Genomic DNA, 27,517 nt, shown 5'->3' with positions numbered 1-27,517 from the left:
GGCTTATTCACTACCACAAGAACAGTATGGGGGAACCCACCCTCATGATTCAATTACCTCCCACTAGGTCCCTCCTGCAACATGTGGGAATTATGGCAGCTACAATTCAAGATGAGATTTGGGTGGGGACACAACCAAACCATATCACCAGGAGTCAGGAATTCTAGACCAGTCCAGGCAACATAGCGAGACCCTGACTCAATTTAAAAAAAAAAAGAAAGAAAAAAGAATTACAGGCTCTCTTTCTTATTCTTTCTCCATAGAATTACGCATGCCACCTTTTTCATAATAAAAGTAGTATCACAGAGTGGTTAAGAACCCAGGCTTTAGAATCAATGCTGAGTTCCAATTATTATAAGCTAGGTATTCTTAGATTATTTAATGCCTCAGACTCTCAGTTTCCTGTATTATAAAATAATATGTGCATATTGAGTGGGATAATTTATGTGAAGTACTTAGCAGAGTGCCTGGCACATATTGTAAGTTCAATAAGTTATTATTATTTTTATTATTCCATGGAATATATATCTTCCATGGTATTTATTTTTTACTTTAACATGTATGTTTTCATGCTCTTACCATCAAGTTTCAGTTTATATATATATCTTAATAATATTAACGAACGTCTTTCCAGTTTTCATGCAGCACATATTGGCTCTTGGCACAAAATATTCTAAATACTTTATATAGTTTTGTGCTAGAGTGTGCTAGATTATGCTTGGTTTTTAAAATTTAAACTCAGAAAAAAATTAGTTAGATTTAAGATGTGCTTAACATATTCCTTGATAGTAAAAAATTTACTAGTATTAAAAAATAAGACTGGTTTATCAAAACAATTTAGAATGCTAATAAAAATGAAGATCACTTTCTAAAGAAAGTAGTATCTTTAATTCCTCATGTGTTTACATTAATGTTTATAGAGGATTTTTGTGCAATAAAATCTTTGTTACTACTTTGAAATCAAATATCCATAAATAAAAGGAAAAGGAGATAGAATCTCAAGGTACTAGGTATTTAATACATATTGATAAATGGGTAAATCAAAGAGCCCACAAATTCATGGCTTTTTGTTCAATAGGTAAAATATATAAATATAAAACAATTAAACATGATAAAACAATGTATATCATGAAATACTAATGATTAATCTTGGCAATTATTGTTTAAAAATTTCAAGTGCCACTGTGTTTAAAGACAAACCATACATATAAAAAGTAATTGCCTTTCTGATATCATAGAAAGAGTATACTATTCAATGTATACTAAACCAATATTTGAGTAACATTCAGGACCATGTTTCTCATGAAATCTGCTGTATCAATTGATATTGGATAAAGTTCAAGCACCTTCTCAGGGGTTGAAATCTGGATGAAGAATGAAAACAAAGATGTTGGCCAGATGTGGTGACTGACGCCTGTAATCCCAGCACTTTGGGAGGCTGAGGTGGGTGGATCACCTGAAGTCAGGAGTTTGAGGCCAGCCTGGCAAACATGGTGAAACCCCATCTCTACTAACAATACAAAAATTAGCTGGGCATGGTGTCAGGCACCTGTAATCCCAGCTACTCTGGAGACTGAGGCAGGAGAGTTGCTTGAACCCAGAGGCAGAGGTTGCAGTGAGCCGAGATCACACCATTGTACTCCAGCCTGGGCAACAAGAGCAAAACTCCATCTGAAAGAAAACAACAGCAGCAATAACAACAACAACAAAACAAAAACAAAAACAAAACAAAACAAAAAGATGTTAATATATGGCAATGTACGAAGTTAATGGTGGTAGAGAGTGATGTGAGTTTTATAGGCTACCTAACATCTCTATTAATTGTAGGAGTAGACAGCTTGTAACAAAACTTGCAGAGGATTATACATTAGGAAATGCCACAAGCACCACTGAAAAGCAAGAAGTAATTGTAGATGTAAAGACATTTATAAACAAAAACTGCCATTAAATATACTGAAAGAAGATGTATCAGTAAAAGTGAAGATTTCAAACTCAACTGTTCCCATTTTCTGAGTTTCCAAGGCAGAAAACTAAATAAGCATCTAAAAACATAAATACAATCTTTGAGGTTAATGATGATTTTTTCTAAGATTTTTAAGCATTATCCTAAGCTATTTTTAAGCATTTTTTTTAGAGCTCATCACTTTCAAGGAGATACTAAAAGCCATGTTTAGAGAGCAAATTTCACTGTGTTTGTCTGAATAGGATACTAATTTAGATGTTCCTGGTCCATATCCTGTATCTCTACACATGAGTCCTTGTTTCATTGTGGAAACAGTCATTCCAAGTTATCCTAAAAAATGGGACTATGGCCCTAAACAGCAATCCATAGGGGCAGAATTTTTACCACTTTTGTCTTCTCGTGCCAAACTGCCTGTCTGAACTGTTAGGTATTATGCAATCTCTGACATGCTTGATGCTCAACTTATCTTCCTCCTATCACCTGTTGCTGAATGATTTTTGGTTCTTTCATTTTCCTCTGGAGGTTCTCTCTAGTCTTAGCATCTAGCTGTCTCATTTAGAGTGTTCAAGAGGACTAATGCCCCATCTGATAACTGACAAATGCCACTGCCACTGTTTGGAAAATCTATTGTTGTCTCAAAGTCAACGTTTCTAAAGAGAATCCATTATTCTTTGTTGTTGTTGTTGATCCCTAAGAAGATTCCTCTAGTGACTTTTCTATTTGTCAGTGGTGACAGATTTCACCCAGGCCAACAGGAATGGAAACTAGAGTTGTCTTTGACTTTTCTGTATTCATGACCTTCTGTATTCTATTGTTCACAAAGTCTCTCTGAGCCTTCACTCCAAATTCATATTAATCTTCCTCTTTCCACTCACATTTTTACTTTTCTTGCCTAGGCCCATATCATTTCTATTTGTATGATTTTAATAGCCTTGTGGGGCAAATAAAATAAAAATAATAGGTTTAATGTTACTATAAAAGTAAGCACATATAACTAAAGAAAAATGATTGTCACTATGTCACCCTTCCATAAAAGAATACTCAAATGCTCAAGGATAGAGAAAAACAAACAAACAAACAGGCAAACAAACAAAACAAGGTCAATTTAATACAACCTAGATATACCTGGGGTTCATAAGCTTTTACCAGAAGTGAAGGTCTGGTTTTTCATGGTTTTGACCATGTATTATTACATACCCTTGGGTGAAGACCGATCAGCATTAGGATTATTACTAAAGAAGAGCAGGGCTGGGTTCACATAAATATATGATAAATGCATGCTTAAATAAGGAGATATGCAGGTACTGAGGGCATCCCAGGGAGTGAACACACTATGTGAGGGTGGCAACTTGGAAGAAGATGAGAGCAAAAACAAGGGAAGCAGTGTTTAATTCATTTTCATCTTTTAAAATAATAGTAAATATGTTTTAAGCATTTAAAATATATTGAGAAAAAATACAAACTAATTATACACATTTTGTCCTCACAACAGCCCCATGACATAGATATGTTTTAACTCCATTTTTATAATTGATGGATGAGGATCCAAATATATCCCAAATGTGGACCCTTCTCTCTGTATCTATAACTACCACCATGGCCCAAGCTCCCATTGTCTCTCTTTGTAATGCTCTCCTAATCTGTCCCCCTGCACCCACTTTTGCCCTCATTGATCCTTCTTACTGAAGAATCTAGAGTGATCTTTCAAAAATTCATATCATATCACATCATTCCTCTAATTTAAATCTTTCAGAGGCTTCCTCTATGGTCTGAAAGTGTCCCTTCAAAATTGGTATGTTGAAACCTAATTGCCAAAATGATAGTAGTAACAGGTGTGGGCCTTTAGGAGGTGATTAGATCATGAAGACAGAGCCCTCATGAATGGTATTAATGCCCTTATAAATGAGGCCCTAGGGAGATAGTTTGTCCTTTCTACCATGTGAGGACACAGGGAGAAGGCTGTATGAGGCACCAGCCCTCACTAGACACTGAATCTGCAGGTACATTATTCTTGGACGTCCCAGCCTCCAGAATTGTATCCCATAGGTTTTGGTAGGTTGTGTTTCCATTTTCATTTGCTTCAAGAAATTTTCCAATTTCCTTCTTAATTTCTTCATCGACCCACTGGTTATTCAGGAACATATAAATGGTGGTTGTTTATAAGCCATCTAGTCTATGGTATTTTGTTATTAGCAGCCTGAACAGACTAAGATATTTCCCATTGTATTTAGAATAAAATCTAAAGTTCCTCATAATTGGTACAAGACTCTGTGTAATCTGATGCTCATTTCTTTCTCTTCCCACATTTCTTGTCAAACTCACATTCTTTACAGTGCCTTTGCTACATTGGCCTCAGGTTACTTCCTCTAATGTCCAGATTCTTCCTTCCTTGGGGGTTTTGCCCAAATTATTCCCTTTGCCTCAAACATTTTTGTCCCAATCCTTTAGTTTGCTCATTTCTACTCATTCTTCAGGTTTTAGCGTAAACTTTACTTTCTCAGAATGCCCTTGTTTTGTTTTTATTTTAGAAAGTGTTTTCCTTGTTTGATTTTTAAATCTTGGTTTATTAAGGTCTAATATAAATACAGTAAAATTTATTGTTGATGACATTTAGTAAATGTAAACTGTCATATAACCACCAATAATCAAATATAGAATATTTTACTTTATTTCAAATAATCTTTTGTGTCCCTTTGAAATCAGTTCCCTTTCCCAACTCCTAGCCCTTGGCAACCACTAATTTCTGTCCCTATAAATATGCCTTTTCCAGAATGTTATATAAATGGAAGCATACATAATATAACCTTTTATGTCTGGCTTGTTACTTGTCATAATTATTTTGAGATCCATCTATTTTGTTGCATGTGTGCATCATAATTTGTTTATCTGCTCACCAGTAAATGGAAATTTGGGTTGTTTCCAGTTTGGGGCAATAATGAATAAAACTACCATAAATAATTGGCACAGATTTTTATGTGAATATATGTTTCATTTTTCTTGGTAAATACCTAGAAGTAAAATTATTTAGACATGTAAAATGTATATTTATTGTTATAAAAATTGCCAAAAACTGCTTTCCAGAGTGTCTGTGCCTTATTGCATTACATTAGAAATACGTGAGGGATCAGTTGCTGTTTACACTTGCCAGCATTTAATATTGTCAGTTTTTAAATCTTATTTTTATAAGTGTGTAATAAATATACAGTTTTATTTTGCATTCTCTTGATCAGTAAAATTGAATATATTTTAATGTGTATATTTGCTATCTGTAACTCACCTTTGATAACCTATCTTCAAATATTTTTCCTACTTTTATTGAGTTGTGAAAAGTTCTTTGCATATTATTAATAAAAAATCTGTATCAGATATATGTTTTGCAAATAGTTATTCACAGACTGAGTTATCTTTTCATTTTTTAAGTATATTTACAAAAGCAGAAGTTTTACATTTGAAAAATTCTATTTATCAGTCTTTTATGGTTCTTTTTATGATTTCTGTTTTTGTATTTTTACATCGCCAAAGGTGACCGAAAAGTATCTGCTCTGTATTTATTTTCTAGAATTTTATGGTCTTGGGTTTATGATCCATTTTCAGTTGACTTTTGTATTTTAGCCTATGGATAGAGAATTTTTGGTACATAAATATTTATTGTTTTGGTTTTGAATAACTATATAATGTCTAAATTAACAGGTATGGACCTTTGGGGGATGATTAGATCATGAAGATAGAACCCTCATGAATGGTAATAATGCCTTTATGAAAGAGGCCCTAGGGAGATGGTTTGCCCTTTCCACCATGTTAGGACACAGGGAGAAGGCTCTATCTTCTACATGTTTGGGGAACTCATGAATGAACTGCAGCTGACATATTCAAATCTTAGCTATACTCTTCAATGCATACTCTGCACTAGCTCTTGTTTAATCTACCTAAACATAATATTAAGTCACTTCCTCACTGAAAACATGAAGTGATGAATGCCCACAAAACACAGTATTAACTCCTCAGTTTAGCTTTTAAGGTCCTTCATAATCTGGGCCTAACCTATATGATATAGTTTGGATATTTGTTTCCACCCAAATCTCATGTTGAAACGTAAGTTCTGATGTTGGAAGTGAGGCCTGGTGGGAGAGGTTTGAGTTATGGAGGCAGATCCCTCATGGCTTGGGGCTATCCTCACAGTAGTGCATGGGTTGTTACAATATCTCATTGTTTAAAAGTCTGTGGCAACTCCCCACCTTTCTCTTGTTCCTGCTCTCACCATGTGCTACACAATCTCCTGCTTCATCGTACGCCATGATTGTAAGCTTCCTGAGATCTTCACCAGGAGCTGAGCACATGCTAGTGCCATGCTTCCTATAGAGCCTGCAGAATCATAAGCCAATTAAACTTCTTTTCCTTATCAATTACCCAACCTCAGATATTTCTTTATAGCAACAAAAGAATGGCCTAACACTGAAAACTGGTGCCAAGAGTGGCATGCTGCTGTAATGATACCTGAAAAGGTGGAGTCAACTTTGCAGCTGGGTAATAGGCAGGAGTTGGAAGAGATTGGAGGTCTCACAAGAAGACAGAAAGATGAGGAAAAGTTTGGAACTTCATAGAGACTGGTTAAATGGTTATACCAATATGATGATATAGTGATATGGACAGTGGAGTCCACGCTGATGAGATCTCAGATAGAAATGAGGAACTTATTGGGAAGTGGATCAAAGGTCACTTGTGTTCTGTCTTAGCAAGGAGCTTGACTGAATTCTGTTCATGCCCTAGAGATCTATGGAAATTTGAACTTTAGAGTGATGATATAAGATATAGCGGAAGTTCACATTTGAACTTAAGAGGGATAATATAGGATATCTGGCAGAAGAAATTTATAAGCAGCAAAGCACTCAAGAATGGTGTGGCTGCTTCTAACAGGCTATTCTTAGATGTAAGAGTAAACAAATGACTTAAAGTTGAAATTTATATTTAAAAGAGAAGCAGAGCAAAAAAAGTTTTGAAAACGTGCAGCCTGGTTATGTAGCACATAAATAAAAAGCATTATCAGGAGAAGAATTCAAATAGGCTGCACAGCAACCACTTCCTAGGAAGATTTGTATGACTGAAAGTAAGCCAGGTGCTGATAGCCAAGACAATGGGAAAAAGGCCTTGAAAGCTTTTCAGAGATCTTCAGGGCAGCCCCTCCCATCACAGATCCAGAGGTCTAGGAGGAAAGAATGGTTCTGGGGGCCAGGTCTGGGGCCCTGCAGCTTTGGGACACTGCTCCTTACATCCTGGCCACTCCAGTTCCAGTCATGGATCAAAGGGCCCCAGGTACAGCTGGGGCCACCACTCTGGAGGGCACAGGCTGTAAGCCTTGATGGGTTCCATGTGGTGTCAAGCCTGTGTATGCACAGAGTGCAAAAGTAAAGGAGGCTTGGAAGCTTCTGCCTAGATTTCAGAGGATGTATGAGAAAGCCTGGGTGCCTAGGCAGAAGTCTACTGAAGGAGTGGAGCTCTCACAGAGAACCTCTACTAGGGGAGTGGTAAGGGAAAATGTAGAATTGGAGCCCCACACAGAGCCCCCACTGGGGTACTGCCTAGCAATGCTGTGGGAAGGGGGCTGCTGTGCTCCAGACCCCAGAATGGTAGAATCACCAGAAGCTTGCAACCTCAGTATGGAAAAGCCACAGTGATAGAGCTGCTCAAGGCCTTGGAATCCCACCCCTCATACCAGTGTGTGCCCTGGATTTGGAACACAGAGTCAAAGGAGACTACTTTGGATCTTTAAGGTTTAATAACTGCCCTGCTGGGTTTCAAACTTACACAGGGCCTGTAGCCCTTTCGTTTGGGTGATTTCTCTTTCATTGGAATGGGACTGTTTACCCAATGATTGTACTCCCATTGTTTCTTGGAAGTAAATAACTTGTTTTGATTTTACAGGATTATAGGTGAATGAATTCATCTCCAGATGAGAGACTGGACTTGGACTTGGGACTTTTGAAATAATGGCGGAATCAGTTAAGACGTTGGGGGAATATTGGGAAGACATGATATTTTGCAATGTAAGAAGGACATGAAATGTGGGGGGGCAGGAGCAAGGGCAGAATGATATAGTAGTTTGGATATTCATCCCTACTCAAATCTCATATTGAAATGTGATCCCCAACATTGGAGGTGGGGCCTTGTAGAAGGTATTTGGGTCATGGGGGCAGAATCCTCATGGCTTGTTGTCTTCATGGTAGTGAGTGAGTTCTTGGAAAATCTAGTTTAAAAGTGTGTAGCATCTTTCCCCTACACCTTGCTCCTGCTCTCACCATGTTATATAAGGGCTCCTGCTTCACCTTCCACCATGATTGTAAGCTTCCAGAGGCCTTCACCAGAAGTTGAGCAGACGTCATGCTTCCTGTACTGCAAAACCATGAGTCAATTAAGCCTCTTCTCTTTATAAATTATCTAGCCTCAGGTATTTCTTTATAACAATGCAAGAATGGTCTAACACACTATATAATTAAATGCATTTCATATTCTCTTTAACACAATCCACATGACTCATCCAATTGGTTTCTTCAATTTTCTTTGATATAATCTGTCTCCCAAGCAAATTAAAATGCCAAAGATTAACTTGTTGGACTCCTCTCTCCTCCATTTAACCAAACAATTCCAATCCACACTTTAGAACCCAGTCAAATACTTCAGGACATCTTCCGTAACACTCCAACACCAGATCAGCTCAAAACCACGAAGCTGAATTGTCTTCTGAAATATTTTGGCACTTTATTGTCTATGCTACTCATTCTGGAATTTTACCTTACATTTTCTGGCATCAGAAATATCTCTCTTGGCTAATTCTGTAAGATCAGGAACACTTTATTCATTAAACATGTGAATAACAGGAATACCTGCTATATGTTGGGAAATCTGCAGTCTAGGGTTTCAAGATTAATAACAAAGGTATGGGCTCTGCCTTTGAGTACTTACAGTTTATTAGAGGAAATAGAATGAGAAATTATAAATGTACTGAGGTTATAGATGGAAAATTACTAGGAATTATGAGGATGTATAATAGCAGACAGACCTCATGCCATTTCATGCTTTTTTTCATTAGTTTTTGTTAATTTTATGCTTTTCTTTTTTCTATGCTATATGTTTTTTAGATTTCAAAATTAATATATTTTCTTATGAATCTATAAATGTACTAAAAAGTTAAATTAATTAAAAGAATGTAGTGCTAAGATATCTATGAATATATGGGTGCATACAATGAATAACAGTGATATTCCATACATACGCAAGGAAAATAGATTGTTGAATAAATTGCATTGGCAAAAATTAGCTCTCCACTTAACAACAAAATGTTAATTCAAATATCTGCATCTCTTATATACACATGCTCAATTCTAGATGGACTTAAAATATAAATATAAAAGATGTAACACGTAACACTGTTAGAAAATGTAGACTACTTTAACATTCTTGAGGTAGAAAATGCTTTCTAACAAAACATAAAACCCAAAGACCCCTGAAAAGCAATGGGCAAAGGGCATCCACTGCAATTCACAATTGAATAAACATCCCATAAAAATGAAAAGATACATTATGTTAATAAGAGCCAAAGATTTATAAATTAAAACATCAGGCCAGGTAGGGTGGCTCATGCCTGTAATCACAACACTTTGGGAGGCCAAGGTGGGTGGATCACCTGAGGTTAGGAGTTCAAGACAAGCCTGGTCAACATGGCAAAACCCCATCTCTACTAAAAATACAAAAATTAGCCAGGCATGGTGGTGCATGCCTGTAATCCCAGCTATTTGGGAGGCTGAGGCAGGAGAATTGCTTGAACCCTGGAGGCTGGGGTTGCAGTGAGCCAAGATAATGCCACTGAACTACAGCCTGGGTGACAGAGTGAGACTCTGTCTCAAAACAAAACAAAACAAAACAACAACAAAAAACAGCAATAGGATATGTTAACATTATCAAATGAACAAAGTTTACAATGTCTCCTAATGTCTGATTTTAGTAAATGTCACAGGGAAACAAATCACACTTATTTTACACGTAAGTGTGCATTGATACAACATTTCTGGAGAACTATCTGAAAAAATTCATTAAAATCTTTAACTATGTTCCTGTTATTTGAATAATAAATATGTTCATAGGAATTTCATATAAGAAAATAATCAGTCAAGTGTAAAATGGTATATTTATTAAGTCAAAAAATTGGAAATAATTACTTGTTAAAAAATAATTGTTTACAAATTTTAAATAATAATTAAATAATGGCTCATCAATTCAATGAAATAATTGGCAACTGTTCAAATAAATATATATAAATATATAAATATACACAAACACACCCCTTGTCACTGAGTCAAAAAAGTCGGTTCAAATATGGTACATACAGTGTGACTGAGCCATTTTACATTTATGTACAAAATGTGTGCATGTGCATGTGTGTGTGTATATTTACATCTAAGTACTAATAATATTTATCTCTGGGCAGCAGGGTTTGAAATGAAAACAGAATTTCTATTTAAACAGCTTTGATATCATTTGAGTTCTGTTTATCCTGTGTGATGGTTTTTATAATATATGTTAAAGTTATCCATATTCATCATAGAAAAATTGAAACAGGAAAAAAAAATCACACAACACAGGGACAACCACTGTTCAGATTTTGCTGCATTCCCTTCTACAATGTTTTTCTATGCCTACATACAGGTGTTTAGACATATTTGAGGTCATAATACAGAAAGAGTTTATAGCTGGTATTCCTGGGTCTCTCATTCACCAATCCATTCACTGGGCATTCATCACCTTTTTGTGAAAAACTCCAGTTTATATTATGAGGAATGCAAAAGAAGGAAAGAAAAATATTGAGAAGAGAAAAAATCTGCCAATAAATAATTCTCATTTACCTAAGTTATTCATTCAGCAAGTATTTATTGAGGGCCCTTTACCTGCCAGGCACTGTTCTAGATGCGACAGGCATTTACCAAGCAATTTTCTGTTCTTAATGGAAACAGAAGCCATCAATATTCGTTTGACATTTCTTAGTTTTTGAGTGAATAAAGATATGTCTGATCTTCAGATGATCTATCAGGCATTTAGTATATTAACTATGTTAAAATTCTTTAAATGACTAGAGATTTTTCTCTTGAGGCTGAGGTCACTATCATTTAAATTTCTTCCAGTGAACATATGCTTGCAAACCCATGCCAGCTGAATTAATGAGCAGAAGATAAATGTGTCTACTGATGGAGAAGAAGAAAGGACCAATGGAAAGCCACATGTAGTCAGGAAATGAATTCAACATTCGTCTTTGTTATAGGGCCAAAATGTGGGATGAAGACAAAGACCATATGGGAGATTATTATTGATATCAATAAAATTATAGTAGCTATGAACACCTTCCTTCCTGTTCCTTGCTCTGATATTCTCTATTGCTCTTCTATTTTGTATTGGGGAACTGGCTTCTCTCATGACAAATGCAGATACAGACAGACTGGTTAAAGCTAAAAGCATGGTGACCACCCTGGTGACCAAGTAGAGGCCTTGGTCCAGGAACCAGGCAGGTCCTGGCAGGGGTGTGGCAAGGCAATGACAAATACAGGCAATCAGGCTTTCATGGGAGGAACTGAGACATCAAAAAGTTCAGGAGGTTGCAGTGTAGATGGGATACAGACGGCAAATATGTCTCCAGAACAAAGTAAGGGTTTAATTATTAATGCAGAGTGTTAGGCTAGAGAGATACCAAGTTCCTGGCTAGATTCATTTTTTGTTCCTCTTGAAAATCAGGTCCTAGAGCTACAGGTGAGCCTTAACCTACAAATAAAGCTTCACTCTACTCAGCTGTGGAAACCAGCTTTTAAAGAAACTCATTACATAAAGTGGTTATATCCCCTTAATAGTATGAAATCCAACAACTTAGAGGGGAATTGGAAAATCATGATTCTTACATAGACTCACATCTTTCTAGATCCTCTGATTACTATTGTGGACCCATTACTTTAACTTCCTGAGCCTTGTAGTGCTATTGTGAAGACCTCCCTATCTCCTTTTCCTTTCTATTTTCATTTTAGATGAAAATGAAAATTACATTGAAAATATTGTTATGGTAGAGATTACTCATGACATCTTGGTATTTGTGTAAAACAAAAGCTGATGCCCCTCTATGAAGAGGTTTAGATAACTTTGTACTCTGCATATATGCCTAGGCTTGGTCAGTTAACAGGTAGATTGGATGTAATAGAAAAGGAATTTTATCTTTTCCTAATAGAATGCATAAGTACTACCTGTTCAACCCCAAGGTCTCCATTCTCAGCCTGGGTTATGTTAGGGTTCCCTGGGGTTATGCTGTGTACTGCCTATATGGCTGTGGGTAGTGACCCTGTATACACTTGTCATGTTATAGGTAAAATTTAATTTTCTGGTGGTGAGAAATCTCTTAAATTATTTCATGTTTGCATACCTTAACCCGAAAAGAGAAGATGGCAGTCAATCTCTTTTTTCATGTATGTATTTATTATTTGTTGGAATTTCTGAATCAGTGATAAAGAAACCTGCGTTTGTTATAAGTGGAAGGAGCTTAATGGAATATGTTGGTTTTGCTCTATATGGCTATTTGTAAGTATGAGGAAACCAAATGCCATCTGGGAAGTAGAAATCACTTTTTTCAGTGCAGTATTTTTAATTATGTCTTTTCACCTGAGCTCCAGGGCAAAAGTTCCATTTTTTTCCCTGCTCACTATTAATAAACCCCACAAGTACAGGGTTTTTTAATTTCATATTTTAAGTGAATTTTGCATGCAGAATTTTCTGAAATGACATTAGCTATGTAGTTAAGACAATATGTTGGCTCTGGAGTTTCTTCGCTTCATACAAATCTTTATATCCTACTTGGATTGACTACCCTCCGTGCACATAGAAATACTTATTCATACACAATCTGCATGTTACTGAAAGTGTTTTCAGTAGCTTGTGGTGATTATTGTTTGTATGCTACATACATTTGAAATTGTGTGGATTATTGTTTGTATGCTACTTACATTTGAAACATATGGCAACTATATTTGTTTTTTTTTTTTTTGGTCTATTATTTGTGTTGAGTGTGATATTGTGCACTATGCAGACTTGCAAGCATTTTGAAATTAATTAACCTGAACAAAATTGAATTCACCAGTCCAGGTTCCTTAATAATATCCTGCCTAAGACATTAAATAATAAATGAGAGGAGAATGGATGTGGGGAGATTCCAAGGAGACAGAATGAGAGATCAGGCCTCCTGAATTTTTATTCCCCGTTCTGCCATTGTGTCCCTCTGTGCTCTTGAGTCAGCCACTCTCTGCTTTTGTTTTCCTGGCTGTAGCATGAGAGTAATAGCAAGCCTGGGCAGTATTGTAGTGAGAGAGAATGAATGCCTAAAATGTGCTTTGAGAGCCGCAAGTAAAACACACTATGCCACGTGTGGAAATTATTATTGGTTCATTCTTCATGCACTTTTGGTCCTTGCCCTCTAGGCTCAGACTGCCAGCCAAGGCACCAATTACTGTGGATGGGGCTGTTGGTTCTTGTGATGTGAACACCTGTCCTCCAGCAAATGAGTTGAGATAACATACCAATTTACTCTGTGTGTCATACACCCTACAAATTGAATCTCCAAAATACACTCAGAGTTGAATAATAAATAACACTGGGTTTAAATGACAGGAAATAGATGCAATACAATTGCTTGGGCATCTGTGTCCACCCAGGCCTTTGTCCACCCAGTCTGCTGCTGTAACGCCATGCCAGACTTCCCTCTGCATTTTCAGAGCTGACTAAGGGGCCATCTGTATGGGGAAAGTCACTGCAGAATTGCTGGCTTCCCTGGGACAGCCTTGGGCTGATTAATTCAGTCAAGGCAGGGCTTGGCAGACCCTGCCCTGCGCTGCTTATCAGGTAAGACAAAATTGCAACCTAATACCATTCCAAGGACCTTCACATTTATATTTTAAGAAGCATTCATTAGGCAGTGGGACAAACTGCAACATAAAAATTGTTGCCCTGAAGTTTACAGGAGAAAAAATTTCAGAGGGAAAAAGGAAAAGAAGGAAGCATAGGGTAGGGGTTGAGGGAAAGGACTTTCAAGGGCAGTCAAATGCGGGCATGAACCTTGGCTACCCCGTTACCAGCTGTGTGACTTTTGGCAATGTCATAAACCAAAATTTCCCCACTCTTCAGTTACTTCACTGAACTGTAAGTTGGGACCATGCCTAACTTGTTCATCCTTATAACCCCGATCCCTGGCACAGTATTTGGCACATTGTAGATGTTAAAAAACAATGGATGAATGTAAGATTTTTCTGGAGTCATTTTTACTACTTGGTGAAGCTAGGGATTTAACCAGACAGGATAGGCGCACAACCATCTGTGTCAGCTCACTCCGTTGCCTTCCAGTGGTCTCTATGGGAACAACCTCTGGGTGAGGCAGAAAAGAGCTTCTTCAGAGTTTGGTCTGCTCTGTTTAAGAGCCCAGCCAGGAGGTTAAGCATAAGGCTTAAGCTCATTTTGTACCAAATCAACTCTCTTCCCTCAAATAATATATAGTGCACAACAAGGATTTCATATTTGGTACATTTCTGATATCCTTCGCCTATTAGTATATTTACAGAATTGTGCATATGTAGAATTTTGCAGTGTTTCTAATGGTTTTCTTTCAGTTAATTAAGTGACCCTCAAATAAGTACAGATGCATGCACCTCCCATGGCTATGTTTTATGTAGATACCTACGTACATCCATTTTTCCTTTCTTTCCTATTTTTAATTTCATGCTAATCCATCAGAACTGCATTGCTCCAGATACTCTTTTCTATGGCCATTCACTCTGAAAATAACCTCTCAAGATTAAGAGGAAAAGTGAGGATAAGAACAAAATAGGTACTAATTTATTCACCTTTATTTTATGTCCTCCAATCTTTAGCTAGCATCTCCTTTGGCTGAATCTAGCAGGAAGCCAGCTGACAGAGTATCCTGAGAAACACTGCCTTCAGGGTTTGGCTTCCTGTGTTCCAGGGTTGAACAGAGCTAGGAGGAGGCATGAATCTGAAGGTGGACCAGCTTGGAACCAGCACAAAGCACTTAGTGCTTCACTTCATGTTTGTTTATGTAGATATCTCCATTCTAAGAATGTGAGCTGCCTAGAAACAGAAACTGCATCTTTTTCTGCTTTGTATCCCCTGCTACCTGCACATTGCTTTGAGTAGAACGTAAGCTTAACAAGTGTCAAATTGGTGGATTTGTTTGTGGAGTTAAGTAGCATTCTTCCCAGGAAACACGTTTGCATTTTTAGTTGGATAGGTTTGGACCTGTAGGAGCCCATGATCTAGTAATGGGTATAAATGGGTACGTAGCATAGTAGGGAGGGGATTGAAGGAAGGATCAACTAAGAATTATTTACAATTCTTCAAAAGGCTCTGTTCAATTTGACAAATACATCTGAGCAAAATCTTAGCATTAGCTTGGCTTTGGATCTTTGGTGGCTTCCCTTAATCGAGAACAGCATGACCCAGACAGTAGTTATTTCTTCAAAGTGCTTTCCAGAAAGAAAACTCAGAGCACAGAACTGAGCAGAACCTGTTAAAGCCACAGCTGACTTGCAGACCTCAGGTGATTTAAGCAAGAAATATGCATTTGCCATTGTGAACTGATAAGGTGTATGTATTATGAGATGATAAGGAAAATGTATTAATTTTCTATTGGTGCTGTAACTAATTGCCGTAAACTTAGCAACTTTATCAACACCAATTCATTCTCTTTAGTTCTTTTGGACTAAAGTCTGACACAAGTTTTACTGGGCTAAAATCAAGATATTGGCAGGGCTATGTTCTCTTTTGCAGACGCTAGAGAAAATCTGTTTCCTTGCCTTTTCTGGCTTTTAGAGACTGCCCACATTCCTTGGATCGTGGATCCCTTCCATCATCTTCAAAGCTAGCAATATAGCATCTCTCTGACCATTATTCCACACTTACGTCTTCTACTGAATGTCTTTTTCTGCCTTCCTTTTCTAATTTCAAGGACCCTCATGATTTCATTGGGCTCATCCAGTTAATTCAGGACCATCTATTTCAAGGTCAATTGATTAGCAATCTTAATTTCTCTTTGTCATGCAGCCTTAACATATTCACAAGTTCTAGGGATTAAAATGTGGACATTCTTGGGGCTATTATTCTGCAGTGCGGGTATTGTAATCAAGGCATCAAGCATGATGATGTTGCTAAAAAGAGAACTAGAAACTACTTCAAAAATGAACATGAAACAGCAGCTACTTGTGGTTGTTTGAAGTCACAAGATAAAATATAAAGCAGAATAACATTAAATTTGATGACCTGGCTGTATGCCCAGTACTGCTTCTAGCTCTAGCACCTTGGGCAAGTCATTTGATTTCTTCTACTCCTCTTAATTTTTTCAACTGCCACATGGAAATAATAACTCTAGTGCTATTTATCTTTCAAGTTTATTAAATAGATTAAATCAGTATGTGTATACATACATACATTTGTGTGTGTGTGTCTATACTGTTTGTTCTTTCATTCTGTGTAATGAGATATATATATCATTACAGAGATATATATATCATTACAGATATATATATATGTAATGTGCTTATTTCACATCACATGCCTGTATCCAAAACATGATGTTAATAAGGCAAAAAAGTCATATGCAAATTAAAACTTTACCAGAGGAATAATAATTAAACATGTATTACATAAACTATGCCATAATGGCACTACATGCCATATATATATATATATATATATATATATACACATATATATACACACACACACACACACACACACACACACACACTAACAGTTTGTAATAGGATCATCAGATTCAACCTTCCTCCAAATTTCTCTTTTAAATGCATCCTGCCTTATGTGTCTATTTATTGGCTTGTAACTGACCTTTTGAATATAGATTAGGTTAATTCACTTTTTCATTGAAAAAGTAATACATCTTCCAAAAATGCACAACTTCTTCATCTCTTCATCAACAGTAACTGTTCAAACTTACTCAGTAATCAACAAATGAGATTAAGATCTAATTTTCATTGATTTAAAGTCCTATGTTTGGAAACAAATACACTTGTGTACATTTTTGTTCTACATTGTGAAAATTTTTCTGTACTTAATCTTTTATATCATATCACGATGTGGTCTTGACAATTCCAACTTCAATTATATAGTATTTCAATGGAAAACTCTCATTAGAATGAACATATACAATGCTTTTCCTTTTGTTGGGGGTTTGGCTTGGTGTTCATTGTCTGTGACCATCTTGACTGACTCCTAAGGCAGCCCTGGGTAAGTAGCTGTCTCACTCAATGGAAGATGGAAGCTGTTCTTCTCCCAGCATCCATGGAATGAGAGTTTATCTAATCATTCCACATATGTTCCTAAGAGATCAGGATATTATAGATAACAAAAAAAATCATATATTTCTGTATATGTTATTCTTTTGCCTTTTTAAAACATATACATTACTATTTAGCTATGTCCAATTAAATGCTCTCCAGTGTGTATGTATTAGAATATGTACAACACATAGATATGTGCCTGTTTTTAGAATAAACTGTTATACTTATCCAGTGACAGATCCACTTTTTAATCTGCTGTTTTCAAGAAATCACAAATTTGTCAGTGGGAAAGCTAAATATTTTCAGCAAAGTAATGCAATGAAAGAAAAATGTCACTTGTTAAGAATGTTTCCCACATTCAAGATAGAGGTCTATGACCATTCCATGGACTTTGAAATTATTCTATGCTAGCATAAACATGAATATAAAAATTAGTCCAAAACATGATGTTAATAAGGCAAAAAGGTCATATGCAAATTAAAACTTTACCAGAGGAATAATAATTAAACATGTATTACAAAAACTATGCTGTAATGGCACTACATGCCCCTAAAAGTAAAAGCAATTGATTATTCTGAGAAGTCATCTTGAAAATTAGTGTCTAATAAAATGAAAGTACTTTACTCCCTTGCTCAGCTCTAGTGTCTGAAATTAAGTATTTTGAAATACTTTGTTTTATAGCTCATTGTGTTGTTAACCACCATACTCATTATATTTTTATATTTATCTAAATATTCTTAATTTATCATTTCAGGCAGTAGCTGTCTGAAGTAACAGAATGAGATATCAAACACAATACATTTAAAAAATTATAAGCAAATGAGATAACCTATTCTCCATGATGTGCTTATTTCACATCGCATGCGTGTATCAAAACATCTCATGTACCCCATAAATATATATGCCTATGTACCCACACAAATTTTAAAAAATAAATAAAATTACAAGCATACATAACAATTCATATTTCTTGAAAACATATAAACAAAAAGTTTTACACTAAACACAATACAATGACTGTCAGGGAAGGAATGGAGAATGGGAGTGAGAGATGACAATTTAAAAAATCAATAAATGAATGACTAAAACAAAAGGGATTATAACATGCTACGATTTAAGGGGTGTGATTAACTTAACCTTCTGCACCAGGGGTTCAAAAAGTACTAATTTGTTTGCATTTTAGCTTCTTTGGGGGCAGTGGTTCAATACTGAATGCAAATCGTAGTGACCCAAGGAGCTTTTAAACAATGCCCCCTCTTAGACCCAACCCCTAGAAGTTCTGATTGATGTCTGGAGTGAAAATTATGCATATATATTTGTTGTGATTAAACATTACAAGGTGAATACATCGGCATACCTATAATCCTTGGCAAAGCAATAAATATTACCAGAATTCCGGATGCTCCTTCTCACTGGACATGAATACTCTTAAAAGCTCCAGATGTGATCCTAATGTTTGTGCAAAGTTGAGGACCATTCTTCTACTTCATACTCAGGCTGTTCGTTTCTTATGGCACTCTTTCCCTTGCATTTCTTTTTCTTATTTTGTAATTTCCTGGTGTTATTTCTCATAGTGGGTAAGAAGGATTTGTACAACTTTTTTATCTTTGGTTGTTAAAAATGTATTTATTTTATACAAGTTTCATTAATAGATTAATTATACATCACATTCTTATTTAGAATCATTTTCCCACTCAAACTTTGTAATATTTTCCTCTGTTTTTGAGCATCCAGTTTTTCTGAAATCAATTTGGTTTCTTTTGTTGTACATTTCTTATTATTATATTTTTCTGAAAAATTTATTGATTTCTTCTTTATCTTTAAAGCCCTGAAATTTTACCAGTGTTATTCATATGTGACTTTCTGCTATATAACCAGCTCAGCACCTGATAGGGCCTTTCAATATACATTTTTTTCTATTATTTCTATTATTTCCTTGATTACTTTCTTTCCTCCATTAACCATTCCTGAAATGCTTATTAGATTAACACTGGCACTCAGGAATTGTACCTGCATATTGTAACTTTATAAATAAATAAATATTGGAATTAAATATTGGAAATAAATAACATTGGATTTTTTAAAACGTAAACTTTCCAATACTAAGTTTGGTCTTGCTTGATTATTTTCTTATTAAATGCATTGATTTCTTTCTTTTGTAATCACAATTAAAATTTATTTTCTACAAACTTATTCTCTGGTGTTTCTTTTTTTTTAATAGGTCATTCTTGTTTTATGGATGCAATATCATCTTCACCTTCTCTGAGGGAACTAATTGGAATATTTTTAGCCTTCATTTTGGTTCCTAAATTATTTGTTTCCTATGGGGCTAATTTTTTGGTTTATTTATTTTGATTCTTGCTATGGATGCTATTGGTTTTCCTCCAATATGTGGTGATATTTAGATATCAGTTTATATTTACTGAATGAAAGATTAGGATGATTAATAGAGGTATTGTATTGTTTTTCTCACAGACCTTCAATTATGAGAGTTGTGATTTTTTTATGGGTGAGGGGCTTTGTTCATATGGAGAGTATGTGTCAGTAATGTATGGCTCTGTAGGTTACTGAGCATGAAACAATAGAACAGTTTGGTTGCTGAAATTCTGAGCTAATCCTTGGTTATTTTGAGAAAGAAAGATCTTTCATTTAGTGTTTAAAGCTGAGGCTTTCTCCATCATGTTTTCTCTTCCCAATTATTCGCTATATTCCCAATTATTTATTCCCAATTATTGCTATAATTGATCTCATATATAATTGATTCCAATTTAATTATTTATTCCCAATTTATCAAAATTATTTGCAATATTCTCTAAAGCTTTCTAGTATACTGCTGGCTCACTTTTCCCCCACATATTCTAATTTTCATTAAAAAACATTTCAGTGGACCTGAAAAAGAAATGGAGATAATTGTTTGCATTAAATTTGACAACTTTTACACTGAAAGCCCTGATGAGCATATGATAGGTTTTCACTAATTAAAAGGAAAAAGGCATATAGATATCAATATGTTGAAGTATATTAATGAGTAGATTCAGTAAGATTGTTACCTAGAATAAGGCAAGATACTGCTAAGAGAAAACAGTAGTTAAGATACATAATATAGTATAATCATTTAAATGAAAAATTTAGAATCATTAATATAAACAAACGTGGGACATACTGGTAATTGCAGAGCTAATATACACTGTCAATATGTTTGCTGTAGATAGGCCAATATTTTGTAGATATGTACATCTGTTTGACTATTCATCCACATATTTGTCTCCTTATTGCTTTATTCATGCTGCTTTTCCTGTATCTATGCAATGAGTTTTAAAGAAAACAATAAAAAGTATCCAACTTTTTTAGCCTTCCAGGTAAAGAAAAAGATAATGGCTCTAAAACTCTTTAACCCAATATTCAAGTTACAACAGGGTTTATTACTTTTCTGTGCTGTGGACCCCATGGTAGTCCAGAGAAACCTACGGACCCTTTCGCAAAATAATATGTTTAAATATGCAAAAAATAAACACACAAGATTATACAGGAAACTAAGTATAGTAAAACATATTTGTTAGAATAACAAAAAAACAAAAATTTCTTACATATTTCACATTTATAGCACGTGCTCTTTTTCTTGATTAGTTTTACCAGAGGACAGTCAGATTATTGGCCTTTTCCAAGAACTACTATTCAGAAGAAAGTATTACTATTTTTGTTTTCCATTAACTTCAGAGCTGTCTTTATTTCCTCATTTCTTGTGTCTTTAGCTTTACTCTGGATTTATTCTGTTTTTCTTTTTTCTACACTCTTAAATTGGAATATTACCTCGTTAAGTTCCAGCTTTTCTTCAAGTATAAGAATGTTAAATCCATTAGCATTTCTCTAAGTAATGCTTTATTGCATTTCATACTTTTTGGTACATAGTAATTTTATGATCACTGTTTCAATGTATTTTCTATTTTTTTAAGATTTCTTTTATGATCTGAATTATTTAATAGCATATTTTAAAATTTTCAAATGTGTGAGTGATTAAAGTTAGTTTTCATAATTGATTTCTAGCTTAAATGTAGTCAGAAAAGATATATCTAGCTGTTATGGTAATGAGGTTTTAGAATTTACAGATGCTAGTTTTATGGTTCATTAAATGAGTAAATTTTGCTCTGAGTACTTGAAAAGTACATATACTTTCAATTTTGGGAGTGTATTTTTTCTATAGAACATGCTTGTGAATTGTGATATTTGAATCTTATACATCCTCAAATTTTTTGGTCTGATTTATCTATATCAATTACAGAGGAAGTTATATTAAAATCTGCTATAATAGTGAATTTGTCAATTTTGCCATATAGTTTTGTCCTTTTGCTTTAGATATTCAAAAGATACATTATTGGATGAAGTTTAGAATTTTACATATTACTAGTGAATTGGGCCTTTTATCAATATACACAGCTTTTCTGATACTTTAATTCAAATAATGTAGCCTAATTGTGATGCAGTTTTTTTATCTAGAATTTAATTTTAATTTTTCCTTGAACCTTGAGGGCAATTTTTTATTTAAATTTGGCACCTTTGATAGCTGTGTCCTCTTGCATCTCGGGCCTTCCTTCTGAAACCATCTCTTGTATTTCTAAAGTATATTCACTCACTGTTCTCTTATAAGATTTTGTGTTTGTTTTTGTGGCGATGTAATCTCTATTTCATCTTCATTTTCGTTGTTGTTTGCTAAAAACGTCTGTATATCCCTCTCATTCCTGAATGATAGTTTTGGGAAGACATAACATTCTGGTTGGCATCTATTTTCTCTTCTTTGAAGATATACATTCAGCTGTCTTCTGGCTTCTATTTTTGCTTTTGAGAATTCAGCTGTTTTGTTGTTCCTTCATAAAAAATGTCTTTTCTCTCAGACTGCTTTTAAAGTCTTCACTTTCTCTTTATTGATCTTCAGTGCCACTGTAGTTCCTATAGTACATCTACGCGTATGTTTCTCTTTAGTAATCCTGCTGAAAATCTATTGGACTTTCTGAGCCTCAGAATTGGTGTCTTTATCATTTCTGGAAAATTCTCAGCCATTATCATTTTGAATATTGCCTTTTATCCATTCTCCCTATTCCCCTCTCAGGAACTATGAATAGACATATAGTGACTTTTTAACTTTATCCTCAATATCTCTTAACTTCTATTTCATATTTTCATTTCTTTACGACTTTGGGCTACATTTTGGGTGACTTTTTAAGCTCAATATTCTCTTACATAAATTCTCTCTTTACCCAGTGGCCAAGAGTTTGCTTTTTGTTTTTGTTCTTGTTTTTGAGACAGAGTTTCACTCTGTTGCCCAGGCTGGGGTGCAGTGGCGCGATCTCAGCTCACTGCAGCCTCTTCCTCCTGGGTTCAAGCGATTCTCCTGCCTCAGCCTCCCAAGTAGCTGGGATTTCCGCCACCATGCCCAGCTAATTTTTATATTTTTAGTAGAGACAAGGTTTTGCCATGTTGGCCAGGCTGGTCTCAAATTCCTGACCTCAAGTATCTGCCCGCCTTGGCCTCCCACAGTGCTGCGATTACAGGCTGAGCCACATGCCCGGCCCCTAGAGTTTGCTTTTTAACCCATCTATTGAGCTACTCATTTTAATGATTGTAAAAATTCTATTTAGAAATTTTGAAACATCTCTCTGGTTATTTTTGATAATCTCTTGTTCTGTATTACATATTTACCTGTATTTTTTTTTCTTTAAGCCTTTTGTTTTAATATTCCTGACTTGATAATACCAATATTTGTATCTTTGGGGTAGTATTCTGTAGGTTTTAAAATATTTCCTCCTGCTAATTCAGTTTTTCTATCTTTCTCTGATGGTAGTTATTTTGCTAATGTGAAAATGTTATGAAGTTGAGATATAAAACCCATTTCTTCAGAGAAGAATTTTTCTGTTTTCTATAGTTGAGTGTGCGGTAGGATTACTTAGTGTTTGACTTACAGAATTTGTTGGCCAGAAAGGTAGTACTACTTAATTTATTTCTCAATCTCAAGTAAAGGCACACTCATGTTTGGAAAATTTCAGGGGAAAATTTTCTTTTTCTTTCTAGTTCTACATAGATTCATGGCCAAACTAGGCAAATATTCTACCATGTCCTTCTGCTTTTTTCTTTCTTTTTCTTTTTTTAATCTTCCTAATTCAACCACACAGTGCATTGCCTTTCAGGATCTCAGGTTCTGTGTGGTGGTTTCTGTTTTTATCTTTCTTTTTTGAGTGCTCCATAAACAGTAATTTTGATTGTTCTCCATGTCTGTGGCTCATTAAAGGCCAAAATGCTACACCACCATAAGTGTTTTCTTACCTCTTTAGATGCCTCCAAAAGCTTCTATTTTCCTGCCAACTCAACCATGAATTTAAAAATTATTTTAAAAATATTTTATCTAATGAGCACACCTAATGTCCAGATTGTGGTTTCTAAATACTATTTTTGAGAAATGGCTGCTGTAGGACTGGCTCATGGAGAGTACACAGTGAACCTGATACATCCTGTTATGCCAGAAAACAAGCAAACTCTGTATGAATGGAGACATGCACACAAACCGAGAACCAGTTTTGGAATAATTTGAGCATCAAAAAGGATAATGAACAGAACTGACTATAACCATTAAATACATAAAAATCTATGACACCACCATGGTGTCAGACAGTAAGATACCTGCTGCAATGAGGAGATTATTATACTAACTCTTTATTTTTAAAATTAGTAATTAGCGGAAAAGTTAATCGTTTGTTATCACGCTTGCAGGAAGTACATTTCAGACGATGGTATGAGATAAAGCTCTTTAAAAACAATCAAACAAACAAATACCAGAAGTTTACTAATGCCGGTTTAGAGAAGAGAGGGAATGAGGGAATTAGAAAATGATTATTTTTTAACACTGAGTAAAATAGTTCAGAAAAGGACTTAGAGGCTAAAGTCATTAAAGAAAATGTTTTGGAGAAACAGGATATTTACTAAAAGCAAAGCATCACAACAAAATCACTTGCTACTTGCATAAAGGGGGAAAATATTCACCTTTAAATTGTAAAGATTTGGCAGTCACCATCTTGACCATGGGATGAAAAGCAGTCTCTCTAACAGTGGACTGCTTGACATCATGTTTCCTGATGAAATGGGGCAGGGCGTGAAACTTATTCTTGCCCAGTGTGCTACACCTGGATAAGATCAAGCCTCTCTCTTTAACTTCCTGTGTTGTAGGACATACACAGGGTTAGAAAAATGACACCATGAGGGAAAGAACACATCTAGACTGTGGAACCTTGTACAATTACACTGCCTGAGTCTCTTCAAAATGTCAAATGCACAAGAAAAAGAGAAGTGGGCAGTGTGAATTTTGATTGAGTCAAAGTTCTAAAAAAAAGGCTAAAAGTATATTTTGGAGAAAATTGAGAAAATTTGAGAATGGACTGGCTCTTAAATAATATTGTAGAATTACAGATTGAGTATTTCTTATCCAAAATGCTTCGGATCAGACGTGTTTCAGAGTTGAGAATTTTTTTTCCAGATTTTAGAATATTTGCATATACATAATGAGACAACTTAGGGGTAGGACCCAAGTCTAAACACAAGTTTCATTTATCTTTCATTACACCTTTTATTATACACATACCCTGAAGGTAATTTTATACAATATTTTATATAATATTGTGCATTAAATAAAGCTTTTGTACATAGAACCATCAGGAAGCAAAGGTGTCACTATCTCAGCCACGCATGTTGACAATCTGTGGTTGGTTGGCAACACTGCCTCTCCTGACTCGATTTGTATGCTATAAGCAATAATTTTCTCACACTTATTCTCACATAAGTACTTAACAATTAAATGTATGACATACAATTAATACAGTGAAAAAATAATGTGTCCAGGGTAACTAAGCAGCCCAATGGCATTACTAAAATACCTGTTTCAGCTGCTAAACAACAACAACAATGAACAATGCCAGGCTTTCTGTCTCCACTTACAATGCTGTGTTTTGGCTAAAAGGTTACTATACACTCTATTTTATTTTCTCAGGTGAGAAGAAACATCAGAAGCAGTTGAGAGACTGAGAAGTGGGTTCTCTACTGATGAAAAGGCATTCTTCTGGATGGCTGTTAAAAAATGTTTCCTAGAGTCATGTGCCTCATTAACAACAGTTGTCGCCTTAGAAGTCTCTCTTTGATTTGTTGATTGTATAAGCTGACACAATTTCTTGTTATGAATGCATGCTGTTCTAGTCCTTCAATAAGCCCATTATATATTTTCACCATGTCATCTATAGGCACTTTTTTCTACAGTGTTAACAATGCCAGCTTCATTGTCACTATTGATCAAAATCACCTTGGTTCAGAATTATTTTGGCTATCTCACCATCAGTCAAGGAATGAACAACTGAAGCCTCATTACTGATGTTAAAAACTTCAATATCTACTTTTTCTAGCTCACTGATTAAAGTCATATTTTTGAAAATATAAGGATTTCAGGCATCATTTTTTCTCATATGACATACAATATCCTTCAAAGTCACCACCTTGTTCATCATGATAACTGAACATAGTTGCAGGCCAGAGGTTGTGTCAGGCATCCAGAACTGTGTCTCTAGTCACTGTGTTCCAAGCATTGGCAACAATATATATATAGCATCCTTCATCCTAAACTCCTTTTGGAAACCTACGCCCATGCCTCTGTTCACTGCTGCTAGGCATGCTGTTCATGAAAATGTTTTTACATTTACTCTTCATTGATCTAAGGATATTCTGGTTACATCACTGAATTAATAAAGTTACATTTTGTGGAAGAGCACAACATAACCATCATTTGTGATGAGAATTTCAGCTGAAGGATGAACAGAACAGTTTTCAAGGAGTAACAATATCTTGCAGTAATCATCCAGTCCAGATTCCCTGCAGTTAGCATGAGCCACTGGTACACAACGTTTGTGAAACCCATCATAAAAGATTTCCCTAGTGATCCATACATTTTTCTTAGCATAATAATGGACTGGCAAGAAATTCATTTCTTGAAAGCAGTGAGGATGCAAGGTTATGTCTATCACAGCAAATTTTCACTTAAGTGTGTCTGCCATATTAGCACATCCCAGCATGGTTATTCTGTCCTCGACATCCTTCATTCTTGTAGGAGCTGTCTCATCAGCTCTACTCAATGTCTTTCTAGGGCAACAATGCCAAAATAGTCATATTTCATCAGAATTATCGATTTGTTCTGGTGTTTTATTTTCATCAGCAATGACCTTAGCTAACTCATCAATGAATTTCTCCACAGTTTCATGATCAGCAGATGCTCTGTCACCAAAAATCTTTGAAAAAATTAATGTTATGTCTTTTTTAAAATTTCTTCATGCAGCCTGTTGGATATTTACAATTCCCTTCAGTCTTCAGTTCATGGTGATAGATTTTTGTTGCTTCATGTCTAGCATACGATTAAGGTACATGTATTAACTGTGATGCTGATGGATCCACTCTTTGAATACACAATTGAGATCTTCATTTTTAGGTTTATGTGGTTTAAAAAATTGTTTTTTCATTAACTTCTCTTCATCAATTTCAGCATAGAACTTTAGCAGTTTATTCTTCTGTTTCTTCATGTCACACATGGTGGTCATTCCAACACCATACTCTTCTGAGATGTTTCACACTTATGCCACTGTCCAGATTCTCCAACAGCTTGACTTTCTGTGCTATAGATAAACATAAATGCCGCCTCTTTTTGTTATCACAGTAGTATCTGCAGGCCTTTTTAACATCTCAACAATACTCTTATACTACAGAATAGAGAATAAACAACAAAACAAAACAACACAAAACACAACACAACACAAAACAAAAAACAACACAACACACACAAAACAGTGAGTAATACATTAGGTCTTGGTCCTATGTGGGGCATTGGGGAACCTGCTGTTGGTATGACCAGCCTGCAAACATGCTGTTTTGTTACCGTTTGTGCATGTGTTCCCTGGGGGAATCTCACAGCTAAAGGAAGCTGAGACGGTCTTTTATCCCTTGGAGGCACTAAACAAACTGTGTTGTGCATCTATATTTTGTGACTCATCACATAAAGTCAGGTGTAAAATTTTCCACTTTTGGTGTCATGTCAGTATTCAAGGAGTTTTGGATTTTGGAGCACTTCAGATTTCAGATTTTAGATTAGGGATGCTTA

General features: G+C 35.4%; 1 long non-coding RNA gene across 1 annotated transcript in view, besides 1 other annotated feature; it reads left to right on the top strand.

Annotated features, from left to right (window-relative positions):
• The window catches only part of LOC124904280 (uncharacterized), a 62,122-nt gene extending 36,313 nt beyond the window's left edge, over nucleotides 1-25,809 (top strand). The window contains exon 2 of the long non-coding RNA XR_007066331.1: nucleotides 25,373-25,809. This is a non-coding gene — a long non-coding RNA (uncharacterized LOC124904280). The remainder of the gene's footprint in view (nucleotides 1-25,372) is intronic.
• Nucleotides 10,863-11,085: a silencer, noted in NCBI's record as "fragment chr18:31864116-31864338 (GRCh37/hg19 assembly coordinates)". NCBI's record gives its function as "represses an EF-1alpha promoter that drives an FKBP-Casp9 reporter gene in an ReSE screen in HepG2 liver carcinoma cells {active_cell/tissue: HepG2}" and the evidence as "EXISTENCE:reporter gene assay evidence [ECO:0000049][PMID:32094911]".
• Nucleotides 25,810-27,517: the final 1,708 nt, after the last annotated feature.

Source organism: Homo sapiens, chromosome 18 (genome assembly GCF_000001405.40).
Source record: "Homo sapiens chromosome 18, GRCh38.p14 Primary Assembly".
NCBI classification, from domain to species: domain Eukaryota; kingdom Metazoa; phylum Chordata; class Mammalia; order Primates; family Hominidae; genus Homo; species Homo sapiens.
This window is presented reverse-complemented; position numbering and strand designations above follow the sequence as displayed.